Raw genomic sequence first — 19,842 nt, 5'->3', positions numbered from 1 at the left:
ACCTGTAATTCCAGCTACTCAGGAGGGTAAGGCATGAGAAATGCTTGAACCTGGGAGGTGGAGGTTACAGTGAGCCGAGATCGTGCCACTGCACTCCAGCCTGGGCGACAGAGTAAGACTCTGTCTTTAAAAAAAGGACTTATATGTGTGTTTGTGGGTGTGAGTAGAAAGAGGAAAACAAAGCAAATGAGGTAAAAAAAAAAAAAAATTAATTGGTCAAACCCGTAAACAGTATATAGCCTTACTAGTTTTCTACTAGTCTTACCAGTTTTCTGAATGTTCAAAATTTTCAAAATAAGTAACTGGGGAAGAAACAAAATGTTACTCACTAGTTGCTTGACTTGAACTGCCTGTGGAATCCCAGCTGGTTGTGAAAGGACAGGGCCCGGCTGGGCAAGTTTGATTTGAACTGGAGTCCCAATAACAGGCTTGTCAGATGTGGTCCCAGCAGAAGAAACAACAGGTTTCACAGATGGAAGACAAATAGCTGCACCTGAAGTTTCTCCAAAAGTTACTGCTGGAAGGGACAGTGTTACTGCTGTTCCAGAGACAACTGGCTTTTCAGGTTGCAGTGAGACCGTGGTCACTGTGTTTGCCACAGATGTCACAAGTGGTTTTGAAGTCTGAAGCAAACCAGTTCCAGCTGTTGTTCCTCCTGTTGCAGCAGTTGGGCCCACAGAATGAAGTGTCACAACTCCAGCTTTTGCTCCCACTGGACCAGCAAGTGGGTTCAAAGTTTGCACTGACACAGTTCTGGGTGCTGTTGCTCCAGAAACAATAATTGACTTTTCAGACTGGCTTGAGGACACTGTAGTTGTCACCACAGGAGAAGTTGTTACTGTTGTAGTACAGGTAGCAATGACCATGTCACTAGAAGTCTGCTGAACACATTGCTGGATGAAGCTCTGGGAGTTAGGCAGAAGTTGTCGTAAGGCAACCACGCTTTTCTGGAAATGCAGAGGAATGGAAAAAAACACTGCTAACAAATCAGCTACTTGTGAAACAAAATGTGGTATTTCATACCTTTACAACTTAAAACCAATCAAAAGTGTATCAAGTATTTCAGTTGAAGACAGCTTGTATCACTTACTTATATCCTGCCAATATCCAGGATACAATCAATTTAAAGCCCAAGTGCCTGTTTTCCAATATGAAATTACTATATCTCAGTATTAAACTTATTTGTATTCCCTCAATATCAATTTGGTAAACACTGTATTATACTTTTCTATAATCATCTAAACCCTATAATAGATCATTAGTAACTTCAGTATCTATAAGTTTATTTAAACCACAGCAGAATCTAGGTCTCTTCATTAAGTAACTTTCAAACTTTGGATAGAAATAGGTGCAGTGGCTCATGCCTGTAATCCCAGCACTCTGGGAGGCCAAAGTAAGCAATCACTTGAGGCCAGGAGTTTGAGACCAGCCTAGGCAACATGGCAAAACCCCATCTATACAAAAAATACAAAAATTAGTCAGGCGTGGTGGCACACACGTGTAGTCCCAGCTACTCGGGAGGCAGAGGTTGCAGTGAGCTGAGATCATGCCACTGCATTCTAGCCTGGGTGACAGAGCAAGACCCCATCTCCAAAAAAAAAAAAAACAAAAAAAAAAAGGAAAGGAAGAAATAGTCTTTAAAAGCCTAGGCAACATGGTAAAACCTCGTCTCTACAAAAAACACAAAAATTAAATTAGCAGGGCATGGTGGTGCATGCCTGTAGTCCCAGCTACCGCAGGGGCTGAGGTTGGAGGATCACTTGGACCCAGGAGGTTGAGGTTGCAGTGAGCTGTGATCGCACCACTACACCCCAGCCTGGGTGACAGAGCAAAACCTCATCTCAAAAAAAATTTTTTTAAATAAAAATAAAGAAATATCTTTACATCAAAACAAAATTAAATACAAAGTGAATTTTACGATCTGAAAGAATTGAGCTAGCATATTTTCTTTTTTCTTATTGAGACGGAGTCTCACTCTGTTGCCCAGGCTGGAGTGCAGTGGCGTGATCTCGGCTCTCTGCAACCTCTGCCTCCTGAGTTCAAGAGATTCTCCTGCCTCAGCCTCCTGAGTAGCTGGGACTACAGGCACATGCCACCACTGGCTAATTTTTGTATTTTTTAGTAGAGACAGCCATGTTGGCCAGGCTGGTCTCCATCTCCTCACCTCAGGTGATCCGCCAACCTCGGCCTCCCAAAGTGCTGGGATTACACGCGTGAGCCACCACGCCCAGCCAAGCATACTTTCTGACTGTCAGCATCTATCTTTGTATCCTACTTAAAGAGTAAAGGCAGTTCAAACTAAAAACTAATAGGTTGTGCCTTTTCATTCCTGGAGTTTTCATTTGTTTAGCCAACAGAGATGGAAAGCTAGGACTCTTGTGCCAAACAGCCAAGTCGTGAATGCAAAGGAAAAATTCCTGAAGGAACTTCAAAGGGCTACTCCATGTGACACATAAATGATAAGAAAACGAAACAGTCTTATTGTTGACATGGAGAAAGTTTGAGTGGTGTGGACAGAAGATCAAACCAGCTACAACATTCCCTTAAGCAAAAGTCTAAACCAGAGTATAGCACTAACTCTTCAATTCTATGAAGGCTGAAAAGTGAGGAAGCTGCAGAAGAAAAGTATGAAGTTAGGAGAGGCTGGCTCATGAAGTTTAAGGGAAGAAGCTCTCTTGATAACTAACATAAAAGTGCAAGGTAAAGCTGCAAGTACTGATGTAGAAACTGCAGCAAATCATACAGAAGATATAGCTAAGATTTTTTTTTTTTTTTGAGACGGAGTCTCACTCTTGTCACCCAGGCTACAGTGCAATGCACGATCTTGGCTCACTGCAACCTCTGCCTCCTGGATTCAAGCAATTCTCCTGCCTCAGCCTCCCAAGTAGCTGGGACTATAGGCATGCGCCACCACGTCCAACTAACTTTTTTATTTTTTTTAGTAGAGTCAGGGTTTCTCCATGTTGGCCAGGCTGGTCTCGAACTCCTGACCCCAGGTGATCTGCCTGCCTTGGGCTCCTAAAGTGCTGGGATTACAGGCGTGAGCCACCACGCCTGGCCAACGACAGATTTTCAATGGAGACAAAACAACCTTCTATTGGAGGAAGCTAGGTCTTTCATAGCTTTTGGCTGAGGAAAAGTCAACGCATGGCTTCAAGGCTTCAAAGGACAGGCTGTGACTTTCTTGTTAGGGGCTAATGTAGGTGGTGACTTCAAGTGGAAGCCAATGCTCATTTACTATTCCAAAAATCCTAGGGCTCTTAAGAATTATGCTAAATCTACTCTGCCTGTGCTCTATCAATGAACAAAGCATGGATGACAGCACATCTGTTCACAGCATGGTTTACTGAATATTTTAAGCCCACTGTTGAGAACTACTGCTCAGAAGAAAAAAAAAAAAGATTATTTTCAAAATATTACCACTCATTGACAATACACCTCGTCACCCAGAAGTTCTGATAGAGATGTACAAGGAGATCATTATTGTCTTCCTGTCTGCTAACACAACCTCCATTCTGCAGCCCACATATATCAAGGAGTAATTCTTACTTTCAATTATTATTTAAGAAACAGATTTTGTAAGACTACGGCTGCCATAGACAGTGATTCCTCTGATGAATCCGGGGGCAAAGTCAACTGAAAACCTTCTGGAAAAGATTCACCATTCTAGATGCCATTAAGTATATTTATGAGTCAGGCAGGAGATCAAAATATCAACACTAACAGGAGTTCATAAGAAGTGGATCCCCATCCTCATGGATGACTATGAGGGGTTCAGAACTTCAGTGGAAGAAGTCACTGCAGATATGCTAGAAATAGCAAGAGAACCACAGTTGAAAGTGGAGCCTGAAGATGTGACCGAATTGCTGCAATCTCAGGACAAAACTGAAAGAGATGAGGAGTTGCTTCTTACAGATGAGCAAAGAAACTGGTTTCTTGAGATGGAGTCTACCCCTGGTCAAATGCTATAAATGTTGTTAGGATGGTAACAAAGAATTTAGAATATGACAACAACTAGTTAACAAAACAATGGCAGGGTATGAGAGAATTGACTCCAATTTTGAAAGAAGTTCTGCTGTGTGTGAAATGCTATCAGACAGCACTGCATGCTACAGAGAAGTCTTTTGTGAAGGGAAGAATCAACTGATGACACAAATTGCACTGTTGTCTTAATTTAAGACATTGCCACAGCTGGGTGTGACCACCTTCAGTGACCACCACCTTGACCAGCAAAAAGTCATCAACATTGAGGTAAGACTCTTTACCATCAAAAATATTATAACTTGCTGAAGGTTCAGATGATTGTCAGCACTTTTTAGCAATAAAATATTTTTTAATTAGCATATGTAATTGTTTTTTCAAATATAATGCTATTGTATACCTAATAAAGTATACCATAAAGTTTTATATGCATTTGGAAACCAAAAATTTCATATGACTCACTTTATTGTGATATTAGCTTTCTTATGGTGGTCTGAAACCAAACCTGCAGTACCTCTGTGGTATGTCTGTATATTCTCATACAAGTATTAAACAATATAATAATGAACTTATGTTCATGAATAAAATGTTACTTCTCTTTTTTCAAAGTGTCCAAATTAAAATAATATTATGAACACGCTTTATAGCTTACAAAAGCACTCAGAGGTTTCTCCCACACTGTCAGTATCTTCACATTCAATTGCTGTCATATTGAAATATTCCCATTTTTAATTATTTTAGAGTAATCTAATCCAAATTATTTCTTCTAAGTGACACATAACTCTACCTTAAGAAAAGGAACCAGGTGAGGCTGAGGTGAAGACTTGAGTTCAACATACAGTTTCCTAGTAAATTCTTCTGCTTCGATTTTTGCATCCTGAGGGATGGGAGAAATAGAAACAATTTTAAGTCTACAAATCTTTTAAAAGAGACAAAGTATATAATTCATGATTGTAGACATAGCAAACTTTTCACAAATGATAAAGTCAATTAAATATAGGCTTTTTTCTTCATGCCACCTATGAAATGTGTAAGCATAAATGATAGAGATGTTTATTCATAGAGAATACAATGAAGGGGTGATTTTTTTTGTTTTAAAGATCACAGGAAGCAAAGAGAAGAGCTGATGGGTTAAGTAATACTACATTATTACAATCTGTTAAGAACAATTAAGAATTGAAGGCACGCGTGTCTTAAATTTCTTAGGGTGGGGAACAGGAAGTTACTCAGTTTGGAGACCTTAGGGTTTAAGTTCTCTACAACGATTTGGAAATTAATCTGCTAGCCTGCTGGTGTTCTTTGCACACAAGAGCCAGGGACAACATTTCCAGAATTAGTAGAAGTACTTCCAAAATAACTTGATGCCAGTGATAATGTGTAAGATGTAGCTGATTGAATTATCTTATTCTTTTCAAATGTATAAAATATAGTTTTAAAAATTTTGCCTAATAGGACATATTATATACTTAATAAAGATTATAATTGTGCGGTGACAGAGAACATCTGGTTTTTTCTTCATGAAGTTGTGGAAGGAGCATTCAAGGAAAGGTAACTATGATCTTAGATTAAAAAAAAAATTCAGCTTTTATTTTAGATTCAAGAGGTACAAGTACAAGTTTGGGGTACAGATGATCTCGTCACCCAGGTAGTGAGCACAGTTATCTAGGAGGTAGTTTTTCAGCCCACACAACCCCTCACTCCCACTTTCTAGTAGTTCCCAGTGTCTATTGTTCCCATCTTTACGTCCAAGTGTACTTAATGTTTAGCTCCCACTTGTAAGTGAGAACATGTAGTATCTGGTTTTCTACTCCTGCACCAATTTGCTTAGGATAATGGCCATTCACATTGCTACAAAAAACATGATCTTGTTCTTTTTTATGGTTGTGTAGTATTCCATGGTGTATATGTACCACTTTTTATTTATCCAACCCACTGTCAATTAACACCTCTGCTGATTCCATGTCTTGGCTGTTTTGAGTAGTGCTGCGATAAACATACAAGTGCATATGTCTTTTTTATAGAATGATTTATTTTCTCTTGGATATATACCCAGTAATGGCACTGCTGGGTCAAATGGTAGTTCTATTTTTAGTTCTTTAAGAAATCTTCAAACCGCTTTCCACAGTAGCTAACCTAATTTACATTCCCACCAACAGCGTATAAGTGTTCGCTTCTCTTTGCAGCCCCACCAGCATCTGTTTTTTGACTTCTTAGTAACAGACATTTTGACTAGTATGAGTGGTATCTCATTGTGGTTCTGATTTGCATTTCTCTGATGATTAGTGATGATGAGCATCTTTTCATGTTTGTTGGCTGCTTGTATGTCTTCTTTTCAGAAATGTCTGTTCATGTTGTTTACCTATTTTTTAATGGGGTTTTTTCTTGTTGATTTTTAAGTTCCTTATTGATTCTGTATATTAGACCTTTGTCAGATATATAGTTCGCAAATATTTTCTTCCATTCTGTAGGTGGTCTGTTTACTCTGTTGATAGTATCTTCTGCTGTGCAGAAGCCCTTAGTTTAGTTAGGTTCCACTTGTCAATTTTTGTTTTTGTTGAAATTGCTTTTGGAGAGTTTGCCATAAATTCTTTGCCAAGGCCGATGTCAGGCAGGGTATTTCCTGGGTTTTCTTCTAGGACTTTTACAGTTTGAGGTCTTACATTTAAATCTTTAATCCATCTCAAGTTAATTTTTATATATGGTGAAAAGTAGGGGTCCAGTTTCATTCTTCCGCACATAGATAATGAGTTATCCCAGCACCATGTATAGAATCAGTCCTTTCCCCACTACTTTTTTTTTTTTTTGAGATAGAGTCTCACTGTGTCACCTAGGCTGTAGTGCAGTGGCGTGATCTTGGCCCACTGCAACCTCCCCCTCCCAGGTTCAGGCAATTCCCCTGCCTCGGCCTCCTGAGTAGCTGGGACTACAGGCATATGCCACCACACCCAGCTAATTTTTGTATTTTTTTAGTAGAGATGGGGTTTCGCCATGTTGACCATACTGGTCTGAATCTCCTGACTGCAAGCGATCCACCTGCCTCAGCCTCCCAAAGTGCTAGGATTATAAAAGGTGTGAGCCACTGTGGCCAGGCCCCATTACTTATTTTTGTTGACAATGTCAAAGATCAGATAGTTGTAGGTGTGCAGCTTTATTTCTGGGTTCTCTATTCTGTTCAATTGGTCTATGTGTCTGTTTTTGTATCAGTGCCATGCTGTTTGGATCACTGTAGCCTTACAGTATAGTCTGAAGTCAGGTAATGTGATGCCACTTGGCTTTGTTGTTGTTGTTTTTTTTTTTTTTTTGCTTCTAATTGTTTTGGCTATTCAGGCTCTTTTTTGGTCCTATATGAATTTTAAAAGAGTTTTCTCTAATTCTGTGAAAAATGACATTGGTAGTTTGACAGGAGTAACATTGAATCTGTCAATTGCTTTGGGCAGTATGGCTATTTTAATGATATCAATTCTTTCAGTCCATAAGCATGAATTTTCAACAGTGTTTTGTATTTCTCCTTGCAGACATCTTTCACCTCCTTGGTTAGCTGTATTCCTAGGTACTTCATTTTTGTGTGTGTGGCTATTGTAAATGGGACTGTGCTCTTGATTTGGCTCTTAGCTAGAACATTTTTGGTGTATAGAAATGCTGATTTTTGAAAACTGATTTTGTACCCTGAAACTTTACTAAAGTCGTTTATCAGTTCTAGAAGCCTTTTGGCAGAGTCTTTAAGATTTCCTAGGCATAGAATCATATCATCAGTGAAGACAGAGTTTTACTCCTTTTTTTTCCTATTTGGAGGCCTTTATTTCTTTCTCTTGCCTGACTGCTCTGGCTACAACTTCCAATATTATGTTAAATAGGAATGGTGAGACCTTGTCTTGTTCCAATTCTCAAGGGAAATGGTTCGAGCTTCTGCCCATTCAATATGATGTTGGCTATGGATCTGCAAGACTATTTTCAGAATGACATTGTAAATCCATAACAGCAGTTCCAAAGAACTGAGGAACCTTTACACATTGCTTACACTATTAAGCATTTCAGGGGTATGTGTGATCTAAATTATTTTCCATTAATACTAACATCTTGGAGAGAAAGCCTTTTTCACTAAGCTAATGTTTGCACACATGGTGCAAAGGCAACAATGGGTAAAACTACCGGTAAGAAAGGCAATGGCAAAGTGAAACAGCCATCATCACATTCTACAGTGCTATGTGCTTGGAGAAAAAAAAAAAAAAAACAACAGAAGGCCAAGCACAGTGGCTCACACCTGTAATCCCAGTACTTTGGCGGGCCAAGGGTGCAGGATCGCTTGAGGCCAGGAGTTGGGAAACTAGCTTGGGTAACAAAGTGAAACCCTGTCACTACAAAAAAATATTTTAAAACTAGCTGGGCATGGTGGCACACACCTCTTAGTCCTAGCTACTTGGAGGGTGAAGTGGAAGGAGCCCTTGAGCCCGTAAGTTTGAGGCTGCAGTGAGCTAGTATCATGTCACTGCACTCCAGCCTGAGCAAGAGAGCAAGACTCTTACTCTAAAAAATAAAAATAAAAAAAAATAGACCCAATTTCACTTTGAAACATCCTTGGATGAAGCAGTAAAAATTAACTTTACTAAATCTCAACTCTTCAGTAGATACCTCTTTAATATTGTATATAACAAAATAGGAAACATACATGGAGCATTTTTGTTGCAGATCAAAGTCAGAGGATCAAGGAAAAGCACTGTAATTGAGTCGCTAAACTAGCCACTTTTTTCCATTTTTACTGAAAAGAATGGCAAAGCAATTGTGGTTATTCAGACTTGGGTATTTGTTAGATATTTTCTCAACAACAAACTAAACCACTAACAGTAAAGAAAACAATGGATAGCATTTGTTGCTAATGATAAAAATTAAAGCTCTCCAGCCAAAATTACAATTTTGAAAAATGTGTAACAACTATTCTGAGCTTGATAGCTTCCTGGTACAAGAATTTTCTAATAAGGTTGGTGAATTTAATGAGCATGTTATTTTGATATCTTAAATAATAAATCTGGAAACATTTGAAAGATCTGCATAACTCAGTGAACCAGTATTTTCCCAATGAACAATGAATGTCATTACAAAAATCATACGTGGGTAAAAGATCCATTCAGCATGCAGGATAAACCAGTAGACTCTAAAGAATATCCACCATGATCTGGAGAAAAGCTATTTTTAAAAAAATAATCACTATTCCAACCACCTCTCTTCACAAGACCAGATATTCTCCAAATACTCCCAAAAAAATAACATATCACAAAACAGATTAAATGCAGAAGATATGAGAATCCAGCTGTTTTCCATTAGGTCAGCCACTAAAGAGATTTGCAAAATTGGTACAGCAATGCCACTCTTCTCATTCAATTCTGTTGTTGTTTTGAAACTCGGTTTTCACTTAAATGTCAGTTGTGTTAACATTTAATGGGTTTACTGTTATTTGTTAATAAACAAGCTGGGCACGGTGGCTCATGCCCGTAATCCTAGCACTTCGCCAGGCCAAGGTGGGATGATTACTTGAGCTCAGGAGTTTGAGATCAGCCTGAGCAACATAGCAAGACCCTGTCTCTACAAAAAAAATCAAAAAATTAGCCAGGTGTGGTGGCACATGTCAGTGGTCCCAGTTACCTGGGAGGTTGACGTGGGAGGATTGCTTGATCCCAGGAGGGTCAAGAAAGCAGGGAGCCTTGTTCACGCCACTGCACTCCAGCCTGGGTGACAGAGTTAAGACCCTATCTCAAAAAAAAATTTTTTCAATAAAAAAAGTTAAGCATTTTTCAGTTTTAATGTTAACCCCACAAAAAACAAAATGCCTTGGGGAGTCCTCAAGTTTTAGGAATTTAAAGGTATCCTAAAACCAAAATGTTTTAGAACTGCTGTTTGTCGTTCTAAAGTAAACAGATCTTAAAACTAGAGGTAATATTTAATTCCTAACTGTTTCTATCTGTCCATAAAATTCACACATATGTTTTGTGGTTAAAAAGTCTTTAATATTTTATGGGATACGTATTCATTTCCAACAGGTCTCTTCATCTAGAGTATTCCATTTCAGAGAAACAAGTCATCATATCCCCTTTCAAAACTAGCATACCTTGAAAAGGGAAGATCAAAAGCTCAATGTTTACTTTTAAAAAGACACCCGTAAGTTGAATTAAAAATTTGTTAGTATGAGGTATTTTAGACATCTGTAATAAAAACATCTTCCCAAATGAAAAACTAACCATTTCAAGTGTGCTCTAACATCTTACAGGCAGCATTAAAAACAGTAGTAAAGAAGGTATTTTAATATTTATAAACTATGCTTGTTTTTGCTGTATAATATTTGAAATATACACATTTTATACTTGGAAAAAGGGATAATTTTTATGTGAAAAATATAATTCTAATTACGTGGTGAGAGAAATCTGTATATTATAGTAGTTCAAAAAATCCAAATCCATTTGTTTGTTATATCCTCAGCATGTCTTAAGCATATAATATGAAATATTTGCTAACTTCTATCTCCACTCTTTTTAGTGCACCTACATATTTTACCTGAAAGAGGATGTAAGAAACCAAAGGCATATAATTTGGTAGCTAAAAGACACAGCATCTTGGCACTCATATAAACATCAACGATCATCATGTTTAACATTCTCATCTGCAAGATGAGAATCTTATAGATAAGGAAAGTGAGGCCTAAGAGCATTAACTAACTTCTGTGGTCCCAAAGCTTGGTGTCTATCTGGACATATAAGAACCGAATTTCATTATCTATTGATAGCCTGGCTTTCTGAGATTTCATAATTCTTTTTTCTTTTCTTTTCTTTTTTTTTTTTTTTTTGAGACAGAGTCTTGCTCTGTTGCCCGGGCTAGAGTACAGTGGTGCAATCTCAGCTTACTGTAACCTCTGCCTCCCAGGTTCAAGCCATTCTCCTGCCTCAGCCTTCCAAGTAGCTGGGATTACAGGCGTGCGCCACCACACCTGGCTAATTTTTATATTTTTAGTAGAGAAGAGATTTCACCATGTTGGCCAGGCTGGTCTCAAACTCTTGACCTCAGGTGATCCACCTGCCTCGGCCTCCCAAAGTGCTGGGATTACAGGCATGAGCCACTGTGCCCAGCAGAGATTTCATAATTCTAATAACAATTTCCTATTGACTAAATAATGAACCTTTTCTCCAAGGCCCTTTGTAGAGTAAGGGAGGCAAGACTGATGTACAGAAATAATATATATATCAAAACATCATGTTGTATACCTTAAACATATACAATTTTTTTAAAAAGGTAAATTTTCAAAAGAAATATACAATAGGTTTTTCTAGCCAAGATTTATAGTCTTTACAAAGCTTTCAAGAAGCAAAAAACAAAATTTATCAAGAACTACATTTAAAATAAATCTCAGGCCGGGCTTGGTGGTTCACGCCTGTAATCCCAACGCTTTGGGAGGTCAGGGCAAGTGCATCACTTGAGGCCAGGAGTTTGAGACCAGCCCAGCCAACATGGCAAAACCCCGTCTCTACTAAAAATACAAAAATTAGCCGAGCGTGGTGATGCACACCTGTAATCCCAGCTACTCAGGAAGCTGAGGCAGGAGAATCATTTGAACCCAGGAGGCAGAGGTTGCAGTCAGCCTAGATCACGCCACTGCACTCCAGCTTGGGCAACAGAGCGAGACTCTGTCTCAAAACATAAATTAAATAAATAAATAAATTAAATAAATCCCATTTAAAAATATGCATTTCCCAATTACAACATGTTATATGGATTCCTCCAGAATTTGCAGGATTTTATAGCACTACTTACCAAAAGTTGTTCCACCAGCTTCTTCACATTTTGCCCCATTTCTGGGGACTGTGATCCACTACATGCTAGTTTTATTAACATTGCAAGGAAGTTCTTGCATTTCTTCACATTTTCTAGCATTGTCTAAATATGAAAATGTAAATATAAGCAAACACAAGTGTTAGTGAGCAAACAATTCAAAAGAACTTGCAAGGAACAAGATTTATGTAAGGTGCAAGTAAGAGCTTACCGGAGAAAGATTAATCTGAACAGCTGCTGAGTTCTCTGCTTTAAGATTGGGCTCATTTGAAGGAGTGGATGATGCTCCCAAACTTGAAGGCTTCAGGGTAGTTACAGTATTCAATGGCTTTCCAGGAGTAACTGTGACGACACTGGTTGGCACAGCCACAGACTGAAATTAAAGGTATTAAATATTTAGGCATGTATTACTATGATACATTAGTGGGTGCCTCATTTCACACTCATCAGACAAGTTAATTTTGACATCTGTGGTTTTATGTTATGCTCTAGTAGTCTAAGGCAATATAATACAGTTCTAGGAACTCTTGAGTCTAGCAGATCTGGGTTTCATTCTCACCCCATCTACTATTTCATTACCACCTACCAAGTGTTGACTGCAGGCAAGTTACTTAATCTTGCTAATCCTGATTACTCTCTGCAAAAATAGGGATTGCAACGGTACCTGCTGTCCTAGGATTTTTTGTGAAAAACAGTGCTAAAGCAAATAAGTCCTCAAAAAATATTATTAATACTCCAAGAAGTATCTGAAAGTCTTTATGAGAACATAGAATATTCTGCTTTTTCTTAAGAACAAAGCAGAGCAATCTACTTATTATCTAAAATTTAGATAAACTGCTTTTATGTAGACCATTAAAGTAAGCATGAAGAATATTATAAAACGTGGTATCTTATATTCACACTGAAAAGAATTTCAGTTGTTTCTCTACCTTCTATCAAAATGAGGTGTGACTCTAGCTAGCATCACCTACAGGACAAAAACCTCATACAAGCAATCACAAGTCAGGCAGTAATTTAGAAAATCACATTGAGATAAAGCAACAATCTTAAAGACAAACACTAAAAGTTACAGAACATAATAAAAGTTTGGGGATCAGGGATAAGGAATAGTATTTACATACAATTCACACAGAAAACTGAACAATGCACCATCATTTAATTTAAATGTCTATGTTCTACAAGCATGCAACACAAAAAGGTCAAGTTGCAATCACCTTCAAGAAAATTTCCTTCTATAATAGTCAAGATAGGTGAATTTGAATGTACAATAAAATCTCCCACATTAGAGAGACTGGAATATGTACTAGACAAGAATGTTCTGAGGGTAAAAAATGGGAAGAAGGACAAGTGCAGTGGCTCACACTTACAATACCAGCACTTTGGAAGGCTGAGCCAGGAGGATTGCTTGAGGACAGGAGTTCGAGACCAGTCTGGGTAACCTAACAAGACCCTGTCTCTAGAAAAAAATTTTCTTTACAAACAGGAAGAACATTTAAAATGCTGAGAATTGATAGAAGGAGAGGAGTGGGGACACATGGTGGCCCTAACATGGGTTTGGGGTATATGGGCCTTCATTTTACTATTATTTTTTTCAACAGCAGACATATTACATATGTGTACATATTACATATGTGTACATATCACATGTAGTCTTGTTTGCATGTATATTTCATAATGCATAATAAAAATATTAAATACCATATGCTAATACATTTGAAACAAAACCAAAAGGGTTTTTGGAAAAACATGAAATGACAAAATTAGCACAAAACACAGAAACTAGAATAGACAAATTAAAGACATTGAAATGATACCCAAAAAGACCTCCCTCCCTCAAGTCTCCAGGCTCAGATATTTTCCATGTGATTTTTCCACACTTTTGCATAACTCCTGTCTTATACAACATGTTCTAGAAAAACAGAATAGGGAAAGCTGTTCAGTTCATTTTATGAGAAAGGTCTGTAACATATTTCAATATTGAATAAGGATAATAAAAGAAAAGTAAACTAAAGGCTCACCTGGCAAAAACTTTAATAAGATTTTAAAATTACTGATTAATGATGAGGACTAGAACAATAAAGTTTTTAACAAAAGAGATAAAATTAAAAATTACACCTAAGTTAGTACAATTTTGTTAAATATAGAGCCTCAAATGCACATTCAAAAGGAAGTCTCCCTCCTTTTCATATCTTTAGTCCTGCTCTCCAACCTACCACTCAGTTTCTTCTGAATTCTTGTGGAGATTTTCTAATAAATTTTTAGTTTTCTATACAGTAAATAAGCCTCTTTCTTTAGTCTATCTTATAATCAGTCATTAACTCTCTGTACTGCCATATTTAAGAAAGTGTAATCTGGAATTTTAGCTGGTGGTTATGATCACCTCTGAGGACTGATGGGAGAGGTTCCTTGGGGGTGTACTGTCCCCCTCCCTCAGGAAGCAAACTAAGGTCCAACTGAAATGTGAGTTTAGGAAAAACGTCCTATCGTTTACAAGTAGAGGGGGCATTTATGGAATTCTATTTTCCTTGTCAATGTTTTATCCTGTCTCCAGTAAAAAAAAAATCTGTCCTTCATAACACTTTCTAGTATAGCTACTACTTGTATCTTACCACAGGGGTCCCCAACCCCTGTGCCGCGGGCGGGTATAGGTCTGTGGCCTGTCAGGAATAGAGACACACAGAGGAGGCAAGTGAGCATTACTGCCTGAGCTTTGCCTCCTGTCAGGCCAGCGGTGCCATTAGTCTCATAGCAGCATGAACCTTCTCGTGAACTGCACATGCAGGTGATTTAAGCTGCACTCTCCTCGTGAGAATCTAATGCCTGATGATCTTGATAGACGCAACCGGAAGATTAGGGGAAAGGTTCCAGAAGAATCCCCCACGCGCCTGCCCACTGGGAGGAGGAGGGGTGGAGCCTCAGGAAGATCAGGCCCTTTGCAAGGGGGAGGAGCCTGGCCTCTCCTGTTCCTGTGTGGTGACCCGAGATTCAATTTGTGAGATGGGGGCCTGCTAACGGGAACCCCTCTGGCTTTGCTGAGTTTTTTTTTTCTTTTCGCCTAATAAATTCCATTCCCCCTCACCCTTAAAAGTGTCTTTTTTTTTTTTTTTTTGAGACGGAGTCTGGCTCTGTCCACCAGGCTGGAGTGCAGTGGTGCGATCTCGGCTCACTGCAATCTCCGCCTCCTGGGTTCAAGTGATTCTCCTGCCTCAGCCTCCTGAGTAGCTGGGATGAGAGCCGCCCCCCACCACACCACCCGGCTCATTTTTGAATGTTTAGTAGAGACAGGGTTTCAACATGTTGGCCAAGCTGGTCTCAAACTCCTGACCTCAGGTGATCCACCTGCCTAGGCCTCCCAAAGTGCTGGGATTACAGGTGTGACTCACCATGCCTGGCCCAAAGTGTCTTAAACTCAATCACAACTCCGCCTTTGACTCAACAGACCAGCCAATGGTAACTTCAATGCTTTTCAAGGCTGCACTGACTGACTAGGCATGTCTTGAGGACAGGAGGAAAACGGACTGAAGTATATGTGAAATAAATGTGTGAAAACCAATTCTACACAGAGCCAATAAAATGAGTTGTATGGAAATTTAGAAGATGAAATAGCATTTCAAGGAGGGTCATTTTCTGTACCTGTCTGAAACAGCAATTGCTTTAGGTTTATTCACATTTAATTAGAAATACTAGTCATTTGCACATTAGATTCCAATCTAACAATGGGCCAAACTACATCTTCATCAAATACAAGGTAAAAGTGAACACAAGATTTCTAACTAGTTCTTGTGTTATATTTATCAGACTAAGCCTAATAGGAAAATACTTTCAAAATTTCTTAACACACACATTTGCATTTACAGTCTGACAATCAAGTACAAGGAGTTGTATCTTCTCTCATTTTTAAGTTCTAGCTCCTTATTTCCATGCCTAAAACTGAGATGCTTATCCCTTAAAGTGGACAGATATCATTAACTTCATTCTTTACTAATTTCCACTGTTCTAGGCTACCACTAAGGAGTAGCCCAACTTAAAATATGCATCAACCTAAATTAGCTAAGAAAAATAAATGGTCCACACAAAAATATCAATGACAGATTAACATGAGCATTTTAAAATAACTACAAACACGAGGAAACATACAAATTTCAATTATTTCTATTGTGACAAAGTCACAGATATGTACTAACACAATGTAATACTCCATGGTTCTGTAGTTTGAAGCCTACATTTGTAGCTGAAAGAAATTCTAAGTTTTAGTTTAAGCTTAGTAAAGATTTTCCCCCTCAAAATGGTTCCATAGTTTGAAGCCTACATTCATAGTTGCAAGAAACTCTAAGTTTTAGTTTAAGCTTAGTAAAGATTTTCCCCTTCACCTGAATTCACAGGCTCCAGGTTGTCTCTTTTATAAAAACTACTAATAAAGGCTGGGTGCAATGGCTGATGCCTATAATCCCAGCATTTTGCAAGGCAGAGGCGGGAGGATTTGCTTGAGCCCCAGGAGTTCAAGAACAGCCTGGGCAACAGAGTAAGACCTCATCTCTATTTTTTAAATAAAGTAATTTTTTTAAAAACTACAAATATAATTAGTGATCACTGGCTATGATTACTAAGTAAATGAACACAAGCTTTCATGTTCTAGAACTATTAAGACTTCAACGAATATTCAGAGAGCACAGAAATAGAATTGTGGCTGTAGCTGGCAGGGGACAAATTAAAGCCCATGGATGTAGAGAATCCCTAATACACTCTAAGAAGTAATATCCAAGAAACTCACTTTACCACTAAACTGGCTCCCAAAAGGGCCCTGAAGAAGTAGTGTAATGGAGTTCCTTCAGTTATCCCAGCACAACATAATTTGCTCTCTGTGTCCTGAAGAGCCATAATGTGCAAATGGCAGTCTTAAGTATCTAAGATCATGTTGCTAAGTATGTTTTCTCTCCACAATATATTTTTTTAACCTGTGGTGTTATTTATGTACTCAATCTTTAAGAACTATATCCAATGAAAAACTGATATACTCGAAGTACTGATAGTCTAAAGTGGTTAACTTCTTCATAAAACAATATGATAGTAGCTATCAATAGGCCTAAATTTATATTCTTTGGCCCAATAATCTCCTTAAAATTTATCCTAAGGAAAAAAATACAGTAGGTTTTGAGATAATCAGTACATAGGTCATTAAGAACAGTTTCCAGAGTCAGATAAAGGCTCAAATCCTCACTCTGCCACATACTAGCAGAAATCAAGCAAGCTTCTTAACCTCTCATATAAAATAGAGATAACACTTCCTTATAGTATAGTCACAAGGATGAAATGAGATGAATGTAAGGCACCTAAAAAAGTGTCAAGCATGTTAAGTGACAACAAATGGTATTAGTAGAAAAATATTACGTTTAAAATCAGATTCACTGCTCATCATTTCTGTTAGATGAAAAGAACGTGAGCAGTATGGTTCAAGTTTGGAACACCAAAAGAAGGTCTGATCTACTAGCATGGGATTCCAGGTAGCAGGCTCCAAGAAGATGCATAGTCCCAGGACTATCAGATCCACTGGTTTCATCACATATGTCTTGACTCGGAAACTAGGAGTCTAGTAAAATATTAGAACAGCCAGCAAGAGGTACAGGTGAAGTACAAACATAGAGGCAATACTCTATGAGTATGGGATTCCATCCTCCAAGACTCAGCATACTCATTGAATCAAAAATTTCCATATAGTACTATGTCCCCAACAGGACAAACCCATAGATCAAGGAATCAAGGAGAAGAAGCATGAATGGCCCCCACTTACCATCACTCACAACAAACACTCACTGGAGGACTTTGTGTTTCCCATTTCTGCCCACAGGAAGCAAACACCTCTACCAGAGGACAAAGCAAGAGTTCCTGTAAATAGACACTAAGAACAGACACTAAGAGTCGGGTGCGGTGGCTCATGCCTGTAATCCCAGGACTTTGGGAGGCTGAGGTAGGCGGATTACTTGGTCAAGAGTTCGAGACCAGCCTGGCCAACATGGTGAAACCCCATCCCTACTAAAAATACAAAAAATCAGCTGGGCATGGTGGCACACACCTGTAATCCCAGCTACTTGGGAGGCTGAGGCAGGAGAATCACTGGAACCCAGGGAGTAGGGGTTGCAGTGAGCCAAGATTGCACCACAGTGCTCCAGCCTAGGTGATAGAGTGAGACTCTGTCTTCAAAAATAAAATAAAATAAAACAAAACAAAATAAAAAATAAATAAAATAGACACTATGGCTGCACTATGGTTCCTTGTAACCATGATCCAGCAGGAAAGACAGGAGTAATTATCTTAGGAAGAGTAATCGACTCCCATCATCTGGAGGAGGTAGGGTTGCTATTACGCAATGGAGGCAAAAAGAAGTATGTGTGGCAAATCCACATGATTCAGGTGATTCACTTAAATGCCTCCTTGTATTTCCTTGCCCAATTGTGATGATAAATAGACAAGCCGTAGCAACCCTGACCTCAAATGAACATGGTTATTAAGACCACAGATCCCTCAGGGATGAGGGTCTGGTCGTTATCATTTAAGTTAACAAAGACCAGTATAGTTGGTAGTTGAGGGGAAGGGAATCTAGGAAGGCACAGTGGAAGAGGGAAATAATTAATATCAGGTGCCACCAGAAACCAGCTGCAGCAGTGGGGACTGTAGTTCATCGTATTAGCCTCCTCTTTGTTTCCCCAAAGACGAAAACCATGAGAATCCCAGAACAGCTGATCTCCAACATGTATGAGGAAACACATACAAGTGATGCAAGGAGTAGCCTGTGATGAACCATGACAAGGAGTGATATGTACTGTCCTAGCTAGCTGCTAGGAATGATATTAGACAGCCTCCATTTATAAGTTCCATCAGGCTTCCCTCAGCTGCAGAGGATCACCTTGCCCAAAGGTAACTTTCCCAGGAAAGTCCACATCCAGTGACTGAACAGAGAGTAGGAATTAAGGCCCAGCCAACCATGTTAACCCATAGTGGGACAATGCTGACCGGCCATATATCCTCCAAAGTTCTCCACTAAGATGGCTAAGGCTTTATTGGGCCTGCATCTAGTTTAAACCCTTATCTACTCTCCTTTCCTTCCATGGGTATTTATCCCTACATATCCCAAATTTTATCTCAGAACCTGCTTCCAGATACTGCAACACATGGCTATTAGGCAGATTTGTATTAACTTAATACACTGAAGTAAAACTGGTATTCCAAGAATGTACACCATGTTTATCTTGTTTCCCATACCTCCAACAGTTCCCAGTTTGATAAGTGCCATCATATATTACTGAATTGCTATCTTCAATGTCACACAGTAACTTACATATCTAACAGGAGATAGCTAAATGATTTTTTTAAAAGTTAAGAGAACAACAAGTGCACGAATGGCCAGCACAACTTACTTGTACTGAGGAAGGCTTCGGAACAGTGGTTACCACAGTAGTTCCTATTTGTGCCAATTTTTTAACAGGTGTCACTGCCACTTTCTTGATTAATTGTGAGCTAGAGTTCTTGGCGGTGGAGGGGAGCAAGATAACACAAAGTCATTAGCGTTAGTAATTTAAGATCAGTACTGCAGTGAACATTAGAACACTTTATGACAGCAAATGTATTTGTTATGACTGGAGTTATAACCTAATGTGTTTTATGCACATTCTATACTATAAACCTAACTGGTCAGCTGCCCAGATGACACTCATTTCATATTTCTAAGGTGGCAACTGATTCAATAAATAACCCATTTATCTGAAATTTCAAACTAAATAAATATTACAGTATTCAACATTAAAATCTTAATCTTGACTCTTTGGTTCATACAGAAAAAATAGATTCTTATGTAATATTTAATTATAAACAAAAACCTGCTAATCTACATTCTCAACCCACAGCAGTTAAACCAAACTAGAAAGGGAAGGAGTGGCTATTATTGACAGATACAGTAACAGAGAAAATGACTGTTTCAGGACCTAGAATCAAATTAGTAGGGCACAAAAATGAAAAACACTGGCAGAGAATGATTATTATAAAAAACAATGCAAT

The 19,842-nt window shown here is 38.6% G+C and overlaps 1 protein-coding gene across 7 annotated transcripts in view, besides 1 other annotated feature; it reads right to left on the bottom strand.

Annotated features, from left to right (window-relative positions):
* TAF4B (TATA-box binding protein associated factor 4b) overlaps window positions 1-19,842 on the bottom strand; it is a 165,241-nt gene that overhangs the window by 104,857 nt on the left and 40,542 nt on the right. For all 7 annotated transcript variants that reach the window (NR_121653.2, NM_001293725.2, XM_024451239.2 and 4 more), the window contains exons 3-7: window positions 19,206-19,313; window positions 12,005-12,166; window positions 11,776-11,898; window positions 4,769-4,858; window positions 330-947 (exon numbers count right to left, since the gene is read on the bottom strand). Coding sequence is in view for 6 of the 7 variants with exons in the window: in NM_001293725.2 (NP_001280654.1) it covers window positions 330-947; window positions 4,769-4,858; window positions 11,776-11,898; window positions 12,005-12,166; window positions 19,206-19,313 (1,101 nt within the window). In the remaining variant the exon portion in view is untranslated. The remainder of the gene's footprint in view (window positions 1-329; window positions 948-4,768; window positions 4,859-11,775; window positions 11,899-12,004; window positions 12,167-19,205; window positions 19,314-19,842) is intronic.
* Window positions 2,338-2,538: a silencer, noted in NCBI's record as "peak3086 fragment used in MPRA reporter construct". NCBI's record gives its function as "represses an SCP1 promoter by STARR-seq MPRAs in K562 erythroleukemia cells {active_cell/tissue: K562}" and the evidence as "EXISTENCE:reporter gene assay evidence [ECO:0000049][PMID:32103011]".

The sequence above is a fragment of the Homo sapiens genome, chromosome 18 (assembly GCF_000001405.40).
Source record: "Homo sapiens chromosome 18, GRCh38.p14 Primary Assembly".
Classification (NCBI taxonomy): domain Eukaryota; kingdom Metazoa; phylum Chordata; class Mammalia; order Primates; family Hominidae; genus Homo; species Homo sapiens.
This window is presented reverse-complemented; position numbering and strand designations above follow the sequence as displayed.